Source organism: Homo sapiens, chromosome 13 (assembly GCF_000001405.40).
Source record: "Homo sapiens chromosome 13, GRCh38.p14 Primary Assembly".
NCBI classification, from domain to species: Eukaryota; Metazoa; Chordata; class Mammalia; order Primates; family Hominidae; genus Homo; species Homo sapiens.
Genome location: NC_000013.11, coordinates 111,134,788 through 111,153,625, shown reverse-complemented (window position 1 = coordinate 111,153,625; position 18,838 = coordinate 111,134,788). Strand labels below are relative to the sequence as shown.

At 43.2% G+C, this 18,838-nt stretch overlaps 1 protein-coding gene and 2 long non-coding RNA genes across 21 annotated transcripts in view; 2 read left to right on the top strand and 1 right to left on the bottom strand.

The window, feature by feature from the left end:
- Positions 1–18,838, bottom strand: part of ARHGEF7 (Rho guanine nucleotide exchange factor 7) — a 191,116-nt gene that overhangs the window by 152,109 nt on the left and 20,169 nt on the right. The gene's annotated exons all lie outside the window — the stretch shown is intronic.
- LOC101060553 (uncharacterized) lies at positions 49–5,429 on the top strand. Its single transcript, NR_120398.1, has 2 exons — positions 49–3,610; positions 4,921–5,429. It is a non-coding gene; the product is annotated as an uncharacterized LOC101060553 (long non-coding RNA).
- Positions 5,061–9,321, top strand: ARHGEF7-AS1 (ARHGEF7 antisense RNA 1). The gene is made up of 3 exons (NR_046516.1): positions 5,061–5,100; positions 8,835–8,941; positions 9,050–9,321. It is a non-coding gene; the product is annotated as an ARHGEF7 antisense RNA 1 (long non-coding RNA).

The following is an 18,838-nucleotide window of genomic DNA, read 5'->3' as shown; positions in this document are numbered from 1 at the left end:
CGCCGGCCCGCGCGGGACGTCTTCGGATAGCGTCGGGTGTTCGCCCCCGCGGACGCAGCCCACCCTGCTTTGCCGGCGAGCTGCCACCTCCTCTGGCCCAGTGCTGGGCCTCGGTCCGGTAGAGGGAGCCCACCGGTTGGCCCCGCGCGCGGCCACCGCCGCCTCCTCCTGTCCAGTCTTCGGTCTCTACCCTAGCCCCGCGGACGCAGCCGACAAGGCCCGGCTCCGCGCTCGGCCTCCTCCCTGCTCCAGGTCCTTGGCCTGGCCCCGCAGACACAGCGCACCCGCTCGGCCCCTAGCGCAGACACCGCCGCCTCTTGGCGCCAGGTCCTCGGCCTCTCCCAAGTGGACGCAGCCTGGCCCAGAGGGGCCCCAGAGAACTCGGGCGGCTTGAGTAACCCCTGATCGTTGGGAGAGAACCTGGGATTTTTTCCCTTCTTTCTAGCCTAGGCTCATGGAGAGCGCAGTTACTATTCTAATGCAATGACTTAAAATAATTAAGCAACATAAATTATGCATGTTGGGATTAAGGTGCAATGTTTTCCCAAATATAAGCCACGCGCTTCATGAATGATTAACCGAAATAGTTAACATGAAAACCAGTAAGTCAGCTGAGAAGAAATTGTGGATCCACCGCAGTGGAGGAGCGCAGGAAGGCGCCTACAGACTCCCTAGTGCTTTAGTCCAAGGTAGAATTGTGAGGGCCACCAGCAACACATGTAAGGTGTTTGGACCTTACCCACGGCAAGAAACTAAGGAAACCAGAAACAGTACCAATTACTAGAAAATTTTAAGAAGCCTGAGGCATACGAAAAACTTTATTTTGTTTTTTGCTCTAAGGATTATTTTAACTGTAAGAAAACTTATGTTCCAAATTACATGTGAAGACATTAAGCGTTGACATTTAAACTAATGCGTCATCTAGAACTCTAGCATTTGAGGACATTAAAGGCATTTTTGTCCTTCTGTACTGTAGGAGAAAATCACGACATTTCACCAGGCTACTCAGGAATACTGTGGTTTCATTTTATGGTGCTCAGGTGTTTTAAAATTATACATCAAAACCAAGTGTTCAGCAATGCCAAAAGGGATGAAATGAAGCTTTTTTCTTTCTATAGTTGAAAAATTCCTTCAAGCAAGTGCTGACATGTTTCCATCGAAACTGTACATTTTTTCAGTGGAATGGCAAAAGCAAAGCTGCTTCCTAATCCGTTTTGCTCTTTAAAATAATTTTCAAAAATTATCACATATCTAGGTAATACCTAATTTTTTTCTTCATAGTTTTAAATAGTTGTAAAGGATGTAATTTCTGACATTCTGATGACATTTTTAAATTAAACCATTGCATCCTTTATAAAAAATATATCCAATAGAATCTAAGTGTAATAGAAACATAATACCCATTTCTCCATCTAAAAAGTTTCTGAACAAGTCAGACATTAATTCTTTCTCCTTTAATTCATTCCACTTCACCCAAAAAGTTGTATCCTCATATAGTCTATTTTTATGCTTGAAACACACTCTTTTTTGGCAAGTAACCTCTACAAATACAGTCAATCATCATTCAAAGAGTCTGTATTTATGAACTCAGCTACTTGGCTAAAAATTATGTGTAACCCAAAAATCAATACTTGAAGCACTCTCAGTCATATATGGACACAAGCAGAACAGTGAAAAATTTGGATCACCTTATGTACACGTTCCCAGCTGTGCTTGAATAAGGCCATGCTCTGCCTTTTTTTTTTAGTTCTCATTCTGTAAACATATGTCCTCTTCTCACTCTACTTAGTGTCACATTTTTCAAATTTCTATGCTTTCCGATGGTGATTTCTGTTTCAAATGGCCCCCAAACGTAGTGCTGAAATGCTGTCTAATGTCCCTAAGCGCAAGAAGGCTGTGATGTGTCTTAACAGAGAAAATACATGTGTTAGATAAGCTTTGTTCGGGCATGAGTTATAGTGCTGTTGGCCATGAGTTCAATGTTAATGAATCAACAATACAGTGCATTCACATCTGTACATGAGGCTGCTCCAGAAAGTGCTAAAGTAACATCTATAGTGTGTGATGAAGCTATGGAAAAGATGGAAAAGCAGCTAAAATTGTGGATTCATGAGACGACAACCAATAAAAAAAGTCATATATGGACTTTTGTAGTGTAGTGAGCAGTATTGTTGTGAGGCTGAAAGCCAAAGAAATTTACAGCCATGTTACCCAAGGTCAGGAAAATATTAAACCCTTCTCAGCCAGTGCAGGCTGGCTGGCACGTTTCAAAAGGCGGTACAGCATGAAATCAAATTTTAAACTTGCAGGCAAGGCAGGTTCTGCCATAAGGAGGCTGCGGAAGAATTTTTAAAATGTCTGCTAAGTGTTATACGTGAAAAGGGTTAAAGGGTTATGGTAAAGAGCAGGTTTTCAATGCTGATGAGACTGCTTGTTTTATAAGAATGTTGGCAAATGAACCTATGTAATGTAAATGGTCACACGAGCCCCTGACTTTAAAGCATTCAACCTTGCTATTGTGCACCAATGCCAAGGGCGACTTTAAGTGCAAACCTCTGATGGTGTACAGAGCCCAAAACCCATGAGCCCTTAAAGGGAAAAATCTGAACTGCATGCCAGTCCATTGGCGGTAGAACAGAAAAGCATGGCTGGTATCTGAAATATTCTGGGATTGGTTCCACCACTGCTTCATTCCAGAAGTTGAACGATATCTCTAGGGCAAAAACCTTGCTTTCTGGGTCTTATTAATTTTGGATAATGCCCCAGTTCATTGCACGATGAACTTGAAAATGCTCACCCCAACAAAGAAGTTCTTTTCATGCCCCCAATACTACATCTCTCGTCCAGCCCCTCAGGGCATAATACAAACTTTCAAGGCACACTACACGAGGGAACTTTATTGTAAAGCTTGTGAGGCTCTTGACGCCAACAAGGAAGCCACCATGACAGACTACTGGAAATCACTCACTATACGCAGCATTATTGATTATGTTGGCACAGCGTGGGACAGCATCAAGCAGGCTACTATCAATAACTGCTGGGAAAACATTTGGCCAGACTCTGTGAAAACTTTTCAAGGCTTTGAAGGTGTTTCAGAAAATATAAAAAACAATGTAAAAAAACAATGCATATTGCAAGGCAAATAAGTGGAGAAGGTTTCAATGACATGAAGGAAGAAGATGTGGAGGAAATTTTGTCAGAGAAGGCAGTAGAACCCACAAACAAAAACCTGGATGAGATGGCAAAACATGGGAGCATAGTCAGGGATGAAAGTCACCCTAAGACTCCAAGAATTGTCCTTCTCACAGCAGCCAAAATATCAGAATAGAATTCTGCCTTGGAAAACATTTTCAATGACATGGAAGAATGTGACCCTGTACTTGAACGTGGCCTCACATTTAAGCACCTCACTTCCACTGCATTTATCCCTTATTCTGAGATGCTTAAAGATTTGAGGCAAAAAGCCAGGCAGACAAGGCTGAACCAATTTTTCTAGCCAGTTTGAGAGACAGTTGCCAACACCATCAACAAGTTGCAAAAGACAAACTCCTAAGGTAGCTCTGCCAGATCACAATGTGCTGCTCTTACTGACATCTTCCTCTTGTGCAGGGTGAGTTCCACCAGCCTCTTTTGATTTTCATGGGGCAAGCTAAGGTTGATAGGGTAAACCACAGTGCACTCACTGACCATCACACATCCTGCAGCTCCATTACAGTAAGACTTTAGTTAATGTGTATAAAACTTTAAATGCTTAATCTTCACTTAATGCTTTTTTCAGGACTTTATGTATTTGTTATTACTGTGCTATACAGTATAAAGCATGTTCACAGTATTCCGTGTTATGTGAGTACTGTATATGTATGTGTATTGTGTGCATGTGTGTACTTATGACTGAGAATTAAACTAGTACAGTCATAGGAGTACATAATGCTGTAACTGAAACACAGTGTTTATTATAAAGAAATACTGCATATGAGTACTTGTAAGAAATTTATATTAAATAAGCTATCTTCAAACAAAAATACACATAAAACAAGGTTATGTATTGATTGGTTGGCAAAATGTTCTGGCCAGAGTCTTCGTGGATCCTAACGCTATATTTCTCCTCAGAGCAGTGTTGCATTTGTCAGTAATTCAATGATCAAGGTAACTTTCTAGAACATAACTACCACAAATAATGATAATTGACTCTACATTTAAGAGTATTAAGCCATAAGAATCTAATTGCTATGATTTTTTTCTGAACTGAGTTAACACAACTATTATGAGTACACAAATGATGAAAACAATATGTTACCATTTTTATAAATTATTACATATAAAAAGCAAAGTTTTATCTGGAAGTGTATTTCTTTTTCTTTTCTTTTCTTTTTTTTTTTCAGAGATAGTGGTCTCACTATGTTGCCCAGGCTGGACTTGAACTCCTGGGCTCAAGCAATCTGCCCGCCTCAGACTCCCAAAGTGCTGGGATTACAGGCGTGAGCCATCGCACCCGGACAGAAATGGTTTTTTTAATGAAATGTATAGGGCTTTTTTTTTAGTTTGTTAATTTACCCCTGAATGACTATCACTTTTTGCTAGAGTGAGGTATGGCCCAGCATCGCTTGTTTTCCTGTCTTGGAGGATTTTTATGCAAACCCGGAAAAACTTTGTTCACAAAAATAAATACTTGAAAACGCAAGGAGATTTGTCATGATATATCTTAACTCTTTGAAGTCTTCTGAGTTACATGGACAAAGTCCAGATATGGTCTCTCGTAAGTTAAAAATATTTTAAATCATTTATTAACATCTTGATTAGGTCTCCTTTGATTTCTGTGAAAGCTAAGAAGTGGAAACCCCTGAGTAGCAACATTTCAGTCGTTAAAGTCATTGACTTCTTAATACCATCAATATTTCTCATTGTCTCTTTGTTACATAGCCTGGAAGTTTTCCATCTTGCAGCAGTGCACCTCAGGAAGATGACAGGTGCAAAGTCTGCCTTTCTGTATGAATTGGGAGAATGGCCATCATGAGAGAGGAGATGGGACGGCCCAACCAGCTTCATGTCTTCCATGGCTTGGCACCTTCTAAGGCTAGTCAGTTTTAGGTGACTGTGTATGTAAGTTGAGGGTCTGGAAGTGGATTCCCTTAAAACCATCCTGTGCCTGCATATCCCTTGAAAAATATTTCTGTACATGTACATGGGTACCTGTAGCAAGCTAGGTCAAAGAACACTGTACCTAAAACATACTTGTTTGGAAAACTGTAATGTCAAAGAGTCAAAACTTTATAGTAAGTAGTGCCTGGCTGTATAACAAATATGTTGTGTCACACTGGACAAGTCACTTGACCCCTTGGGTCTATGCCTTTGTCCCTGATTTAAGGCTAACACATCTTTTTGCACAGAGTGGCTGGGAGGATGAAATGGGTAATAAATTAATCCAGCAATATTGGGCTTAGACTCCATGGCAGATGATGGCATAAGCACGGTGAATGCAAAGAGTGAGACGCACAGAAGCTTGCACACAGCATGGCAAGTGTGGCCACGGAGATGTAGACTCAGCACTACAGAAGCATGGCAGAGGGAAACCTAAATTCTGCAGAGATAGGGCAGGGCTAGAGGCTTAACCAGCATAAAAGGTGACCTCGGCTGGGCACGGTGGCTCACGCCTGTAATCCCAGCACTTTGGGAGGCCGAGGCGGGCGGATCACGAGGTCAGGAGATCGAGACCATCCCGGCTAAAACGGTGAAACCCCGTCTCTACTAAAAATACAAAAAATTAGCCGGGTGTAGTGGCGGGCGCCTGTAGTCCCAGCTACTTGGGAGGCTGAGGCAGGAGAATGGCGTGAACCCGGGAGGCGGAGCTTGCAGTGAGCCGAGATCCCGCCACTGCACTCCAGCCTGGGCGACAGAGCGAGACTCCGTCTCAAAAAAAAAAAAAAAAAAAAAAAAAGGTGACCTCTGAGTTGGAAGGGTGAAGAGGCAAATGGAACTGCATCTCAAAGGTGTGCCATTTTGGCAGTCCAGGGTGTTCTCAAGGATGGCGAGTAAAAAAGGGCAGCTGAGATCATGGGTGAAGCTGTGGTGGAAAAACATGTTTGGAATATTGTGATACAAACAAGATGGCTGAAAGTCCCTTTAATATTTCGCTGAAGAAGCTATACAAACGAATGGTCAGTGAGCACGTGAAAAACAGTTCAATCTCTTTAGTCATTAGGGAAATGCAAATTAAAACCACAGATAACACTGCACCCCACCAGAATGGATCAAATGGAAAGGGCTGACAATATATCAAGTGTTGGCAAGGATGTAAAGTAACTGGAATTCCCAGACACGACTAATGGGAGTGTAAATGGTATGCTTAGAAAACTGGCCGTTTCTTGCAAAGTTAAATATACATCTACCCTAAGACCGGCAATTCCTTTCCTAGGTATTTACCCAAGAGAGATGAAAGCATAGGTCCACTGAAAGCCATGTACAGCAATGTTCATAGCTTTATTTATAATCAGCAAAGCCTTCACAATTCAAAGGGGTGGGGAAGTCTGCTTTCTCATGTAGTCTCCAGAAATATTCAGAAAACTCAGGCCTCAAGTGACCAACAACTCTGCCCAGTTCACTTTTCAGAAATCCTGTGCCAAATTCTCCGTGGTAATAAACTCCAGGCTTTTCCATCAAGAACTCTAACCAGGCAGAGACATAGTCCCAGAATCATTACAATTTTCCTTCAAAGTATGCCTTTTGTACTTAATATTTGATAAGCAGTGTGTGTGATATGAAAATTTGCTGCAAATTAATCACAAAGCAACATTAAGGTCAGACTTCAGAAGCATCCACAGCTATCCAGTTTTCATGTCAAGTCCTTACCAACTACTCCAGGGCAGGAACAATCATCTCCACCCTCAACCAAAGCAGAGAGCCGACTAAGACAGCTGCCACCTCTCAGAATTTAAAGACTCTCAAACTTTGAAAGAGTTTGAGTAAAAAAACCACTACAGAAGGAAGAACAAGCAGTATCAGCAAGGCAAATAATTAAACAGGTTCAATGTTATCTCAACAATTAAGATCACCAGTAGAAAATAGTCACATCTGAGAAGTATTTATCTCCCCAGGGAGATTCTGATTCTGCATAGATCTGAAGTACAGCCCAGGAGCCTAGCGTCAGTGTGCACATGTGTGTGTATGTTTAAAGTCTTCATCTGATTCTGATTTTCAGCCAGGTTTGGGAACCACTGGTATGGTATAACTCAGTGTTTCTTAAACATCTACATGCATCAGAATCACCTGGAGTAACACAGATTCAGAAGGTGGGGTGGAACCCAAGAATTTGGATTTCCAACAAGTTCCCTGTAGACATTGATGGTATCAGGACCATACTTAGAGAACCTAGTGGTATATATAGACTGACTCTAGAAGTGTTCTGTTTTTTTCCTACTTGGAGAATAATGCAGACTCCCAACCACAGAATGAAGGTCACCCCAGGTCTTTGCCATCAAATCTCACACCCCAGGTATGAAAGATCACTTCCTCTGAATGCATGTGGTTCTGTCCACAGCTAGACCTACAACACGGCTGGACCTACTTGTGCACATCTCATCTCCCTCATTAGACATAAGCTCCCTAACTGCAGGGCCCACCGATGTCTCATGTTAAACAGTCAGCAACTGTGCACTAAATGACCTAACTCACTTAGGTCACCAAATCCACTCATCACGGAGTAAGTGAAACAAAGAACCTTAGCTGAAAGGGTCACAGAAAACTTTTGAGGTAGTTCTGGTATTTTACAGATGAGAAAACAGGGACTCAGACAGCTGAAATGTCAGGTCCAAAACTACACAGCCCGTGGATTTCACCAACCTGCACCAGCCTCTGAGGACTGCATCAACCAGGCTTCCCTGCTCTCTGGCTTCTGGTGGGGTTGAGCCAATAGGAGGCCCTGGCAGGAAGCAGGGGCCTAGAGCAGTAGATGCTGGAGCTGGCTCACAGTGGGCTGTATGGGTGTCACCCCGTCACACTGGTGCCTTTAAAGCCCTGGTGTAAGTACCTACGGCACAGAAATCAGCAAACGGTACACGCCAGGGCCACCCCTCCCAGACAGCCAGGTGTTTAACATTTACCAACACACCACTCGCGGAAGACCATGGCTCCTGTCAGGCAGCCTCTCCTGTAACTACAGCTCTCACTGGCTGGAGAAACCCTCCTTCCCTTGACCTTTCGCTTCGGGGTCAGGGAGAGTTAATGACTTTTCTGTCATTAACCCATCTCTTCTAGGTTGTCCTTCTTCCTGCCCTCACTTCATAAATCGTCTCATAAACCACCTCTGTTCAGTGTGCCATCTATCTGTTTTCTGCCTGGCCCTAACCTGGAGAGCTTCCTGGCGGCATCTAAAATTAGAACACAATGTAATGGCAAACGATTGGAAACAATCTAGAGGACAGATTAAATGAATTCTAATGCTTCCACAAACAGACTATCACCACTACCATACAGCCTTTAAAAAAGGGGCAGCTTTATATCCTGATATGTCACAATCTCCAAGTTATGTTTGGTGTGGTAGGGAACGTGGGGAACACCGTGGATAATATCTACCTTTTGTGTTTTTAAAAAAAAAAAGCAAGAAGAAAATGTATGTAGGTGTTTAGAAATGCATGGAGCTGTCTCTGCAAGCATATGCCACTTAACAAGAGTTCCCTACGGGGAAAGAGAATTGGGCATGGAGGACAAGGGAACAAGGGAAATTTGCTTTTCTCTCTCTACTTATTGTACCCTTTGAATGTTGTCCCATGTGCAAGTATTATTAAATACATTAGAGAAGAAGACGATGACCACTCCCAATCTATTATTCTTCCCCTCAGGCCAACGTGACTCCCCCGTCACAAAACAGTCCTCAAGACAGATGGGCTGCCAGCGTGCTGGGGTCTTCATAGGGCAGATCTCCACCATGTCATGCAGAGATGCAGTGGTAGGTTTGAAATCCTAAGTTCACCTTCTAGAAGTCCGCTTAGCATTCAATGGTTCATCTAATTTTTAATTACATGGTAGTCACTGCTTTATTCTAATTAAATTGCAGCTGTCTTCTGATCAGGAATTATGCTCTTCCACGGCACTCTGGCTCATTCCACAGTCAATAATGTTAAATGGAGTGAAAATGTAGGTCAGTGGAGCTAACTTGGAAGTCTCCAGGACAACTCTTCCTCCAAATCCATTGGAAAACATGAAGCAACAGGCAGAAATGCCAAGGATTTGACTGCTAAATACCAGATAAGTAAGCTGCTCCCCCAAAAAGTCTTCAGCATACTAAGCAAGTCGTTTACTGGAAGAAATTTAAACCTTTTTTAAAGCATGTTTCTCTTTTGCATTCCTTCTTCAAGAAATCCCAAAGCCCAACTCTAAATGAAATGCTGCAGCCATCTGGGAACAAACAAATTGTTTTCCATGAGTATGGAACTGGCCAGATTATGAAGGGTAGTAATAGATACAAGTGTACCAAACCTCCAGTTCCCAACCTAAATTCAGATATGCCAGAGACATGAAATGTCAAAGAGAGACCAACAAGACTACAGTGCTTCAACTGACTCATGCATCCCCTGAGGCTTGGTTCTCACAAACTCTAAAAGCAGTTTAAAATCCCTCAGAGTTGGTGGCAACAGTCCCAAATTCATAGCAATGCCAAAAATGGATAACAAAATATTTAAAGATAAAACTTCATCAGATAACCCAGAATACATTTCACCATTGAGTCGTATTTTGTTCTCCCAGTATTGTTAGATGAAAACGTAGCAGTTGTATCTTAATTGTTGAATGAGAGTGAGCTGGGAAACAGCACTTGCCCTGCCACCCCTCAAGGTTAGGCTGCAGCGATGCAGATCCCCAGGAAGCAAGTGCAGCTGGGGTGGGCACCGTTGAGGTCTCGCCACTTCCATCGGCAGCCACCATTCCATGTGCCCTTGAAGAATCTGGGTACAAGAAAACTGAGAGCAGTACAGATTCATAAGACAACTCAAGTTGAGTCTGGTGGTCGAAGATTGTTCTTTCACCTGTTCACGTGGAATAATTGTCTTTTTTCTTTCACCTTCATGCTTGTGACCTAATGGAAACAGACTGTAAATGATGGCATGGCATTCTGTGAATCAGAGCTGCCCATCACTTTCTTGTTAAGCTCCCTTGCTCTATTGTTTCCCACCCTTTGGCATGTTCCCTCTCCCACTGAGTGCACTTCAGCATGGCTGGTGATTATTTTCTTATTGCCCATTGTTAAAGACACCTATGGAGAAGGCTGTGGCCTCTGACGGAAATGTGCTAGTGAATCCAAGGTGGGTACTAGCTGTGTAGTCATTGTCTGGGTGAGTTTCAAAATGAGGCAGGGTCATGTCCACCCTCAGCACAAGCAGTCTGTTCTCTGCCGGGATGCTGCCTCCTGTATCTACTCTGCCTCACCAATAACCCAATGTCCTATTCTTGACCAAGGCACCTTGGTGAGAATGGCAGCTCCTGTCCCTGCAGTCCCGAGTGCTACTCCGCTGTTCATACTTGTGTTCTCAGACGTCTAGGGTTTTTTATGGCGGCCCTGCCTTTGTTTGCCTCCACCACTCAGATTTGCTTCTGAAGTGTCCTACTGCCACCCAGCTCCACACACAGTGAAGTCAGGGGGCAAGAGTGGGAGCTCCGCAGTCATGCAGTGTTTTGTTCCTGGCCTTTCCCACTCAAGAGTCTTTGCTTCAAAGCTGTGTTTAATGCAAGTTCAAGTCTCAGAGCCACCTAAGAGAAGACTGAACCCGGCCACCTAGGAAGAAACTGTTTTCATCCACATGTTAACTTGTGGGGGATTTGAAGGCATGCAAAGAGGCAGGCTCATTTTGGAGAGGAGATGGTGAAGCAGGAGGGAGCCATTCACCCAGAGGAAGAAAGTGAAATAAGGGGACTGGAAACAGCTGAGGACATCCACAGTTAAGCACATCTCTCTATAAATAGCAGTTGGGGCTGCCCTAGAGAGAGAGGTGAGAGGATAGGAAGAGAGGGCAGGAAGCATTGGCCAAGGACACTTGTGGGCTATAAAAGCCTCTTGCATGAAAGATGGGCCAGTTGGGACTTTCATATTATCTGTGAGTAATAAAAAGGTTGACAAAAAGATCATTATTACCCAAAACTCAAGTATCAGCAGGGTGGGCTGAAATCAATAGGGCCATAGTTGTGAATAAGATGTGTAGCAATCTGTACTTGGGAAATGCATTTTTTAAAAACCACTTATAAACTGATCTTCCATTTGGTTCATATTACTATCATTATTTATAATTTGCCTGTAATGTCACTCCTCCACTCAAAACCATTAAAACCTCCCCATTTCACTCAGGAAAAGCCGAAGTCCTTGAGAGAACAAGAAGACAAGCCACCAACAGGGAGGAGATATTTGCAAAACACATCTAATCAATAACTGGTATTCTGAATATACAAAGAACTCTTAAAACTCATTAATAAAACAACTTAGTTTTTAAAATGGGCAAAAGATCTGAAAAAAACACCAACAAAGATACACAGATGGTAAATAAGCACATAAAAAGATATCCAACATCATATATTATAAAAGAAATGTAAATTAAAACAAGGAGATGCCACTGCATACCTATTAGAATGGCCAAAATCCACAAAACTGTCAACACCAAATGCTGGCAAGAATGTGGAGCAGTGGAACTCGCATTCATTGCTGGTGGGAATGCAAAATGGTGCAGCCACTAGAAGGCAGTTGGGCAGTCTCCTACAAAGCTAAATGTAGGCTTACCATATGATCCAGCAATTGTGCTCCTTGGTATTATATTTACCCACGTGGGGCTGAAAACGTATGTCCACACAAAACCCTGCACACATTTGTTTATAGCAACTTTCTTCACAATTACCAACACTTGGAAGCAACCAGGATGTACTTCAATAGGTGAATGGAGAAAAAACGGTGGTACATCATACAATGGGATTACTCAGTGATAGAAAGAAATGGGCTATCAATCCATAAAAAAAAAAAATATGGAGGAACCTTAAATGCATATTGCTAAGTGAAAGAAGCCGATCAGAAAGGCTACAGAATGTGTTGTTCTAACTATATGACATTCTGGAAAAGATAAAACTTTTGGAGCTTCCAGGCAGCTGAATACGTAGAGGTTCCTGAAGGGGGCACACCCAGGGAGGGCATGGAAGCTGTGCGACACTTCCCCCATAGCTCGCACTACATGTCTCTTCATCTGTAGCCTTTGCAATATTCTTATAATAAACCAGTAAATGTAATTTAAAAAAAAAAAACATGGGGACGGTAAAAAGATCAACAGTTGCCAGGGGTTGAGTTGAGGGAGGGATGACTAGGCGGAGTAAAGGGGACTTCAGGGCAGTGAAACTACTCTGCATGATATTATACAGTGGCTACATGTCATTATACACTTGTCAAAACCCACAGAACATACAACACACAGTGAACCCTAATGGAAACTGTGAACTTTAGTTAATAATAAAGTATCAGTATCATCTTATCAATTGTAACAGGTGCATCATACTAATGTAGGGTGTTAATAATGGGGGAAAGTGGGTGGGCTGAAAGAAGGGAGTGTATAGGAACTCAGTACTTTTTGCTCAGTTCTTCTGGAAACCTAAAACTGCTCTAAAAAATAAGGTCCAGGCTGGGTGTGGTAGTTCATGCCTAGAACTTATATGTAATCCCAACATTTTGGGAGGCCAAAGCAGGAGAATCACTTGAAACCAGGAGTTCAAGATCAGCCGGGGCAACATAGCAAGACCCTGTCTCTATAAAAACATTAAAAATTAGCTGGGCATGGTGACGTATGCTGTAGTCCTAGCTACTCTGGAGGTTCACTGGAGCCCAGGAGTTCAAGGCTACATTGAGCTGTGATCTGCCACTGCACTCCCTCCTGGGCAATAGAAAAAGACCCTGCCTCTAAAAAAGCAAACAAACGAACAAACAAAAAAAAGGTTAATAATAAAAGGCCAAGTCCTTCGAATGGCCAAGCAGGTACTACACAATCGCTCCCTTATTCCTTCCTTGACCTCGTCAGCCAGCTACCACCCTCCCCACTCTCACTGGCCTCTGCTGTTCTGGAACTCGCCAGGCAGGCTTCTACCCCAGGACCTCGCACTAGCTGTTCCCTCTGCCTGCAACACCATCCTCCCAGATCTTCACATCATTCCTTTCTTTGCTCCCATTCATCAAGTCTCTGTTCATGTCACTTCTCAGTAACACCTCCCCGATGACCTGATGTAAACCTGCACCACCGCCCTAGGTGCTGGCACTTCCCACCCGCCACCTGCTGTTTTCCTCCATGACACATATCACTGGTAAATGAAATGTCTCATTGATTTCTGTGTGATGTTTACAGAATCTCTCCCTGCACTATACAATACACGCTCCAGCTGCAGCATATTTGGTCTGTTTGGATGACGGTTGAATCTTAACAGATGGCATATACAGACAGGCACTTGGTATATTATTTGTGAATTAATGAACGAAGGACCTGTGCCTGTGACACTCTAATAAATCACTTGATTATGGCTACCAAAAGTGAAGTTCAGTGATGCTGACATGGCAAAAAGTAATATACCAAAAAGTAATATAGTTGGTCTAATGTGAGAATTGGATGTTTAAGACAGGAACTATCCCGAAAAAGACCTGGAAATATGATCACTGTAGACAAAGTGAGAGACAAATGAAAGATTGTCTTAGTTTTACCTTAAAAGTTTCAACCCTCCCTGTTGAGATTGATGGCTGCATCCTGTTGCCACTGGCTCTGCCTGCGGCCAGCTGCCCATGGGCTTCCCAGTGCTCTCCCAGGACTGCCCACCTGCAGGCCCATGGCTCAGTTTCCTCTGTGCATGGGCATCAGTTCAGCCAGTGCTGTCCAGAGCAAGCTCTGGTTACAGCTCCTGCCTCCCTATCACTAAGGAAAATCGCAGGCCCCAAATTGGGTTTGCCCCTAAGCAGCTGGCCTGCTCCTGCAGCCCACATCAGGCCCCTGTCTGCCGCCAGTGCTCCACGCAGGCACCCGCCAGTGCTCCACACAGGCACCCGCCAGTGCTCCACGCAGGCACCCGCCAGTGCTCCACGCAGGCACCCACAAGAGCCACAGGTTTCACAGGGTGGCTTTCATTCTTCAACCAAGGGGGACAAAACACGCTCTGGAGGCCTCCTGTGATTCTGACAGTTCAGAGATGAGAGAGACAGAGACATAGACACAGAGAGGGAGAGACAGAGAGGTAGAGGATGTCACAGATACAGAGAGACAAAAAGGGGAGAAACAGAGTCACAGAGAGACACAGAGGGAGAGACAAGGAGCCGGCGAGGGAAGGGAAGAATCCTGCTGTCGTTCCCACACTGTCTGCTGTCCTGCAGTGTGTGCCGCCCTGGGCAGCCCTTGCTTTCTGAGGTCTGTTTTCTCTCTTGTCTACACTGAGCCCCTCCCTTGATGAGTCCTCGATCAAGTTCACTAATCAATCTTCTGCCATCTCTACTGTACCTTTGAGCCCATCCAGTGTTTTATTTCCATTATTCTATTCAGTTCTATACTTTTAATTTCCTTTTCATAAGTTTTATTTCTTTGCCGAGATGTTCCATTGTTTCATTTGTTTCCAGAGAACCTGTCATTGCTTTTTGAGCCCTTTTCATGATGGCTGCTTGGAAATCCTTGTCAGGTGATTCCAGCGCCATTCATGAAAGCAGCCACGGTCACCAAAGGCTTCAGCAAAGCCACAGGGAATGAACCATCTAGAAAAGGAGCTTCTGTGCCAGCTGGAGCCGGTTCTCCAGACCCAGCTCTTTCTCTACATGATGCAGTGTTTTCTCCTATGGCCAGACTTGGGGTGGGGTGTTGTCAAAATTGTCATCATTTTCTCCACATTCAGTTTTTACAAATGGACCCTCAATTGGCCACTGAATTGCAAAGCATACGCTGGACTGAAATTGAGCAATGTGTCTTTGGTTTTGCCGAAAGGACGGTGCGAGCGGTGCAGGCTGCTTCAGACCTTCAGAAAACAAGGGCATCCTCAATTTAAGGATGGCAAAACCCACCACCCCTTCGAGTTAGAAAGAGGCTACGGCTCAGCTGAACTCCACAACATGAACTGCTTCCTTGATGAGCAGCCGTTCGCCCAGCTGTGTTTTTTGGTTTTTGTTTTTGAGATGCAATCTCGCTCTGTCATCCAGGCTGGAGGGCAGTGGTGTGATCTCGGCTCACTGCAACCTCCACCTCCTGGGTTCAAGTGATCCTCCCACCTCAGCCTCCCAAGTAGCTGGGATTACAGGCATGAGCCACCACACCCGGCTAATTTTTTTTTGTTTTTTTTGAGACAGAGTTTCGCTCTTGTTGCCAAGGCTGGAGTGCTATAGTGAGATCTTGGCTTACTGCAACCTCTGCCTCCCGAGTTCAAGCGATTCTCCAGCCTTAGCCCCCCGAGTAGCTGGGATTACAGGCATGTGCTACCACACCAGGCTAATTTTGTATTTTTAGTAGAGATGGGGTTTCTCCATGTTGGTCAGGCTGGTCTCGAACTCCTGACCTCAAGTGATCTTCCTGCCTCAGCCTCTCAAAGTGCTGGGATTACAGGCGTGAGCCACCGTGCCTGGCCCCAGCTGTGTTTTTGAACTGGCAACCCAGACTCTTCCCTGAGGCTGCCCTTAGTTCCCACAACCAGGCAACATGGTTGATTTACTCTTCTTTAAAAGCCTCAGCATTAAAAAGCATCTTTACCTAAAACAGTGTGACTTCATCTTCTGTTCATTTTTTGTGACTCAATATCTTATTTAGCTATAGTTCTTCCCAACCCTAATTTGAATATTTCACTGATGTCTCCATACATGCCTCAATTTAAGTAACATATTTCATCAAATCTTGTACAAACCTCCTGAGCTTGGCCTCTTAATGGAGATTGTTTCTCTTCTGTTGTATGAAAAAAAAACATATTCTTTTTTATTTTAAAAAATTATGCACAGAAACAAATGGGATTCCAATTTTTCAGATAAATTTCCGAGTCCCCTTCCAACCCAAGCAGGATGTCCTTTCTGTCTCTCTGCCTCCATGCTTAAATACTCCAAAAGCCCATGAGGAAGCAGCACTCGGGGTCTGCTCTGTCTTGAACTAAGAAGGTACTAGTTAGGAAACTTGTTAAGCATGAGGATGGGGAGGGCACACCAAGGTGAGTGAGCAGCCTGTGCCACGCACGGAAAAGACGCCCAGGTGAGGACACCGTGGCCTCCTGTCTGCTTCAAGGGTCATGCACACCATCTGGCTGGTCCAGGTCATGGTGCTGCTGGGCTAATGAGCTCAGTGGGCTAGGTCAGTGATTCTCAATCATGGCCCCAGGACCAGCAGCACCAGCACTGCCTGAGAACTTGTTAGAAAAGCAGATTCTCCTCATACAATGAGTTAGGGAGGATTCTCTCTTTTCCATTGATTGGAATAGTTTCAGAAGGAATGGTACCAGCTCCTCCTTGTACCTCTGGTAGAATTTGGCTGTGAATCCGTCTGGTCCTGGACTTTTTTTGGTTGGTAAGCTATTAATTATTGCCTCAATTTCAGAGCCTGTTATTGGTCTATTAAGAGATTCAATTCCTTCCTGGTTTAGTCTTTGGAGGGTGTATGTGTTGAGGAATTTATCCATTTCTTCTAGATTTTCTAGTTTATTTGCGTAGAGGTATTTATAGTATTCTCTGATGGTAGTTTGCATTTCTGTGGGATCGGTGATGATATCCCCTTTATCATTTTTTATTGCGTCCACTTGATTCTTCTCTCTTTTCTTCTTTATTAGTCTTGCTAGCGGTCCATCAATTTTGTTGATCTTTTCAAAAAACCAGCTCCTGGATTCATTGATTTTTTGAAGGGTTTTTTGTGTCTCTATCTCCTTCAGCTCTGCTCTGATCTTAGTTATTTCTTGCCTTCTGCTAGCTTTTGAATGTGTTTGCTCTTGCTTCTCTAGTCCTTTTAATTGTGATGTTAGGGTGTCAGTTTTAGATCTTTCCTGCTTTCTCTTGTGGGCATTTAGTGCTATAAATTTCCCTCTACACACTCCTTTAAATGTGTCCCAGAGATTCTGGTATGTTGTGTCTTTGTTCTCATTGGTTTCAAAGAACATCTTTATTTCTGCCTTCATTTTGTTATGTACCCAGTAGTCATTCAGGAGCAGGTTGTTCAGTTTCCATGTAGTTGAGCAGTTTTGAGTGAGTTTCTTAATCCTGAGTTCTAATTTGATTGCACTGTGGTCTGAGAGACAGTTTGTTATAATTTCTGTTCTTTTACATTTGCTGAAGAGTGCTTTACTTCCAACTATGTGGTCAATTTTGGAATAGGTGTGATGTGGTGCTGAGAAGAATGTATATTCTGTTGATTTGGGGTGGAGAGTTCTGTAGAATTTTAGACCAATATCCCTGATGAACATTGATGCAAAAATCCTCAATAAAATACTGGCAAACCGAATCCAGGAGCACATCAAAAAGCTTATCCACCATGATCAAGTGGGCTTCATCCCTGGGATGCAAGGCTGGTTCAACATACGAAAATCAATAAACGTAATCCAGCATATAAACAGAACCAAAGACAAAAACCACATGATTATTTCAATAGATGCAGAAAAGGCCTTCAACAAAATTCAACAGCCCTTCATGCTAAAAACTCTCAATAAATTAGGTATTGATGGGACGTATCTCAAAATAATAAGAGCTATTTATGACAAACCCACAGCCAATATCATACTGAATGGGCAAAAACTGGAAGCATTCCCTTGGAAAACTGGCACAAGACAGGGATGCCCTCTCTCACCACTCCTATTCAACACAGTGTTGGAAGTTCTAGCCAGGGCAATCAGGAAGGAGAAAGAAATAAAGGGTATTCAATTAGGAAAAGAGGAAGTCAAATTGTCCCTGTTTGCAGATGACATGATTGTATATTTAGAAAACCCCATTGTCTCAGCCCAAAATCTCCTTAAGCTGATAAGCAACTTCAGCAAAGTCTCAGGATACAAAATCGATGTGCAAAAATCACAAGCATTCTTATTCACCAATAACAGACAAACAGAGAGCCAAATAATGAGTGAACTCCCATTCACAATTGCTTCAAAGAGAACAAAATACCTTCCAACTTACAAGGGATGTGAAGGACCTCTTCAAGGAGAACTACAAACCACTGCTCAACGAAATAAAAGAGGACACAAACAAATGGAGGAACATTCCATGCTCATGGGTAGGAAGAATCAATATTGTGAAAATGGCCATACTGCCCAAGGTAATTTATAGATTCAATGCCATCCCCATCAAGCTACCAATGACTTTCTTCACAGAATTGGAAAAAACTACTTTAAAGTTCATATGGAACCAAAAAAGAGCCCGCATTGCCAAGTCAATCCTAAGCCAAAAGAACAAAGCTGGAGGCATCACGCTACCTGACTTCAAACTATACTACAAGGCTACAGTAACCAAAACAGCATGGTACTGGTACCAAAACAGAGATTCAGACCAATGGAACAGAACAGAGCCCTCAGAAATAATACCACACATCTACAACTATCTGATCTTTGACAAACCTGACAAAAACAAGAAATGGGGAAAGGATTCCCTATTTAACAAATGGTGCTGGGAAAACTGGCTAGCCATATGTGGAAAGCTGAAACTGGATCCTTATACAAAATTTACACCTTACACAAAAATTAATTCAAGATGGATTAAAGGCTTAAATGTTAGACCTAAAACCATAAAAACCCTAGAAGAAAACCTAGGCAATACCATTCAGGACATAGGCATGGGCAAGGACTTCATGACTAAAACACCAAAAGCAATGGCAACAAAAGCCAAAATTGACAAATGGGATCTAATTAAACTAAA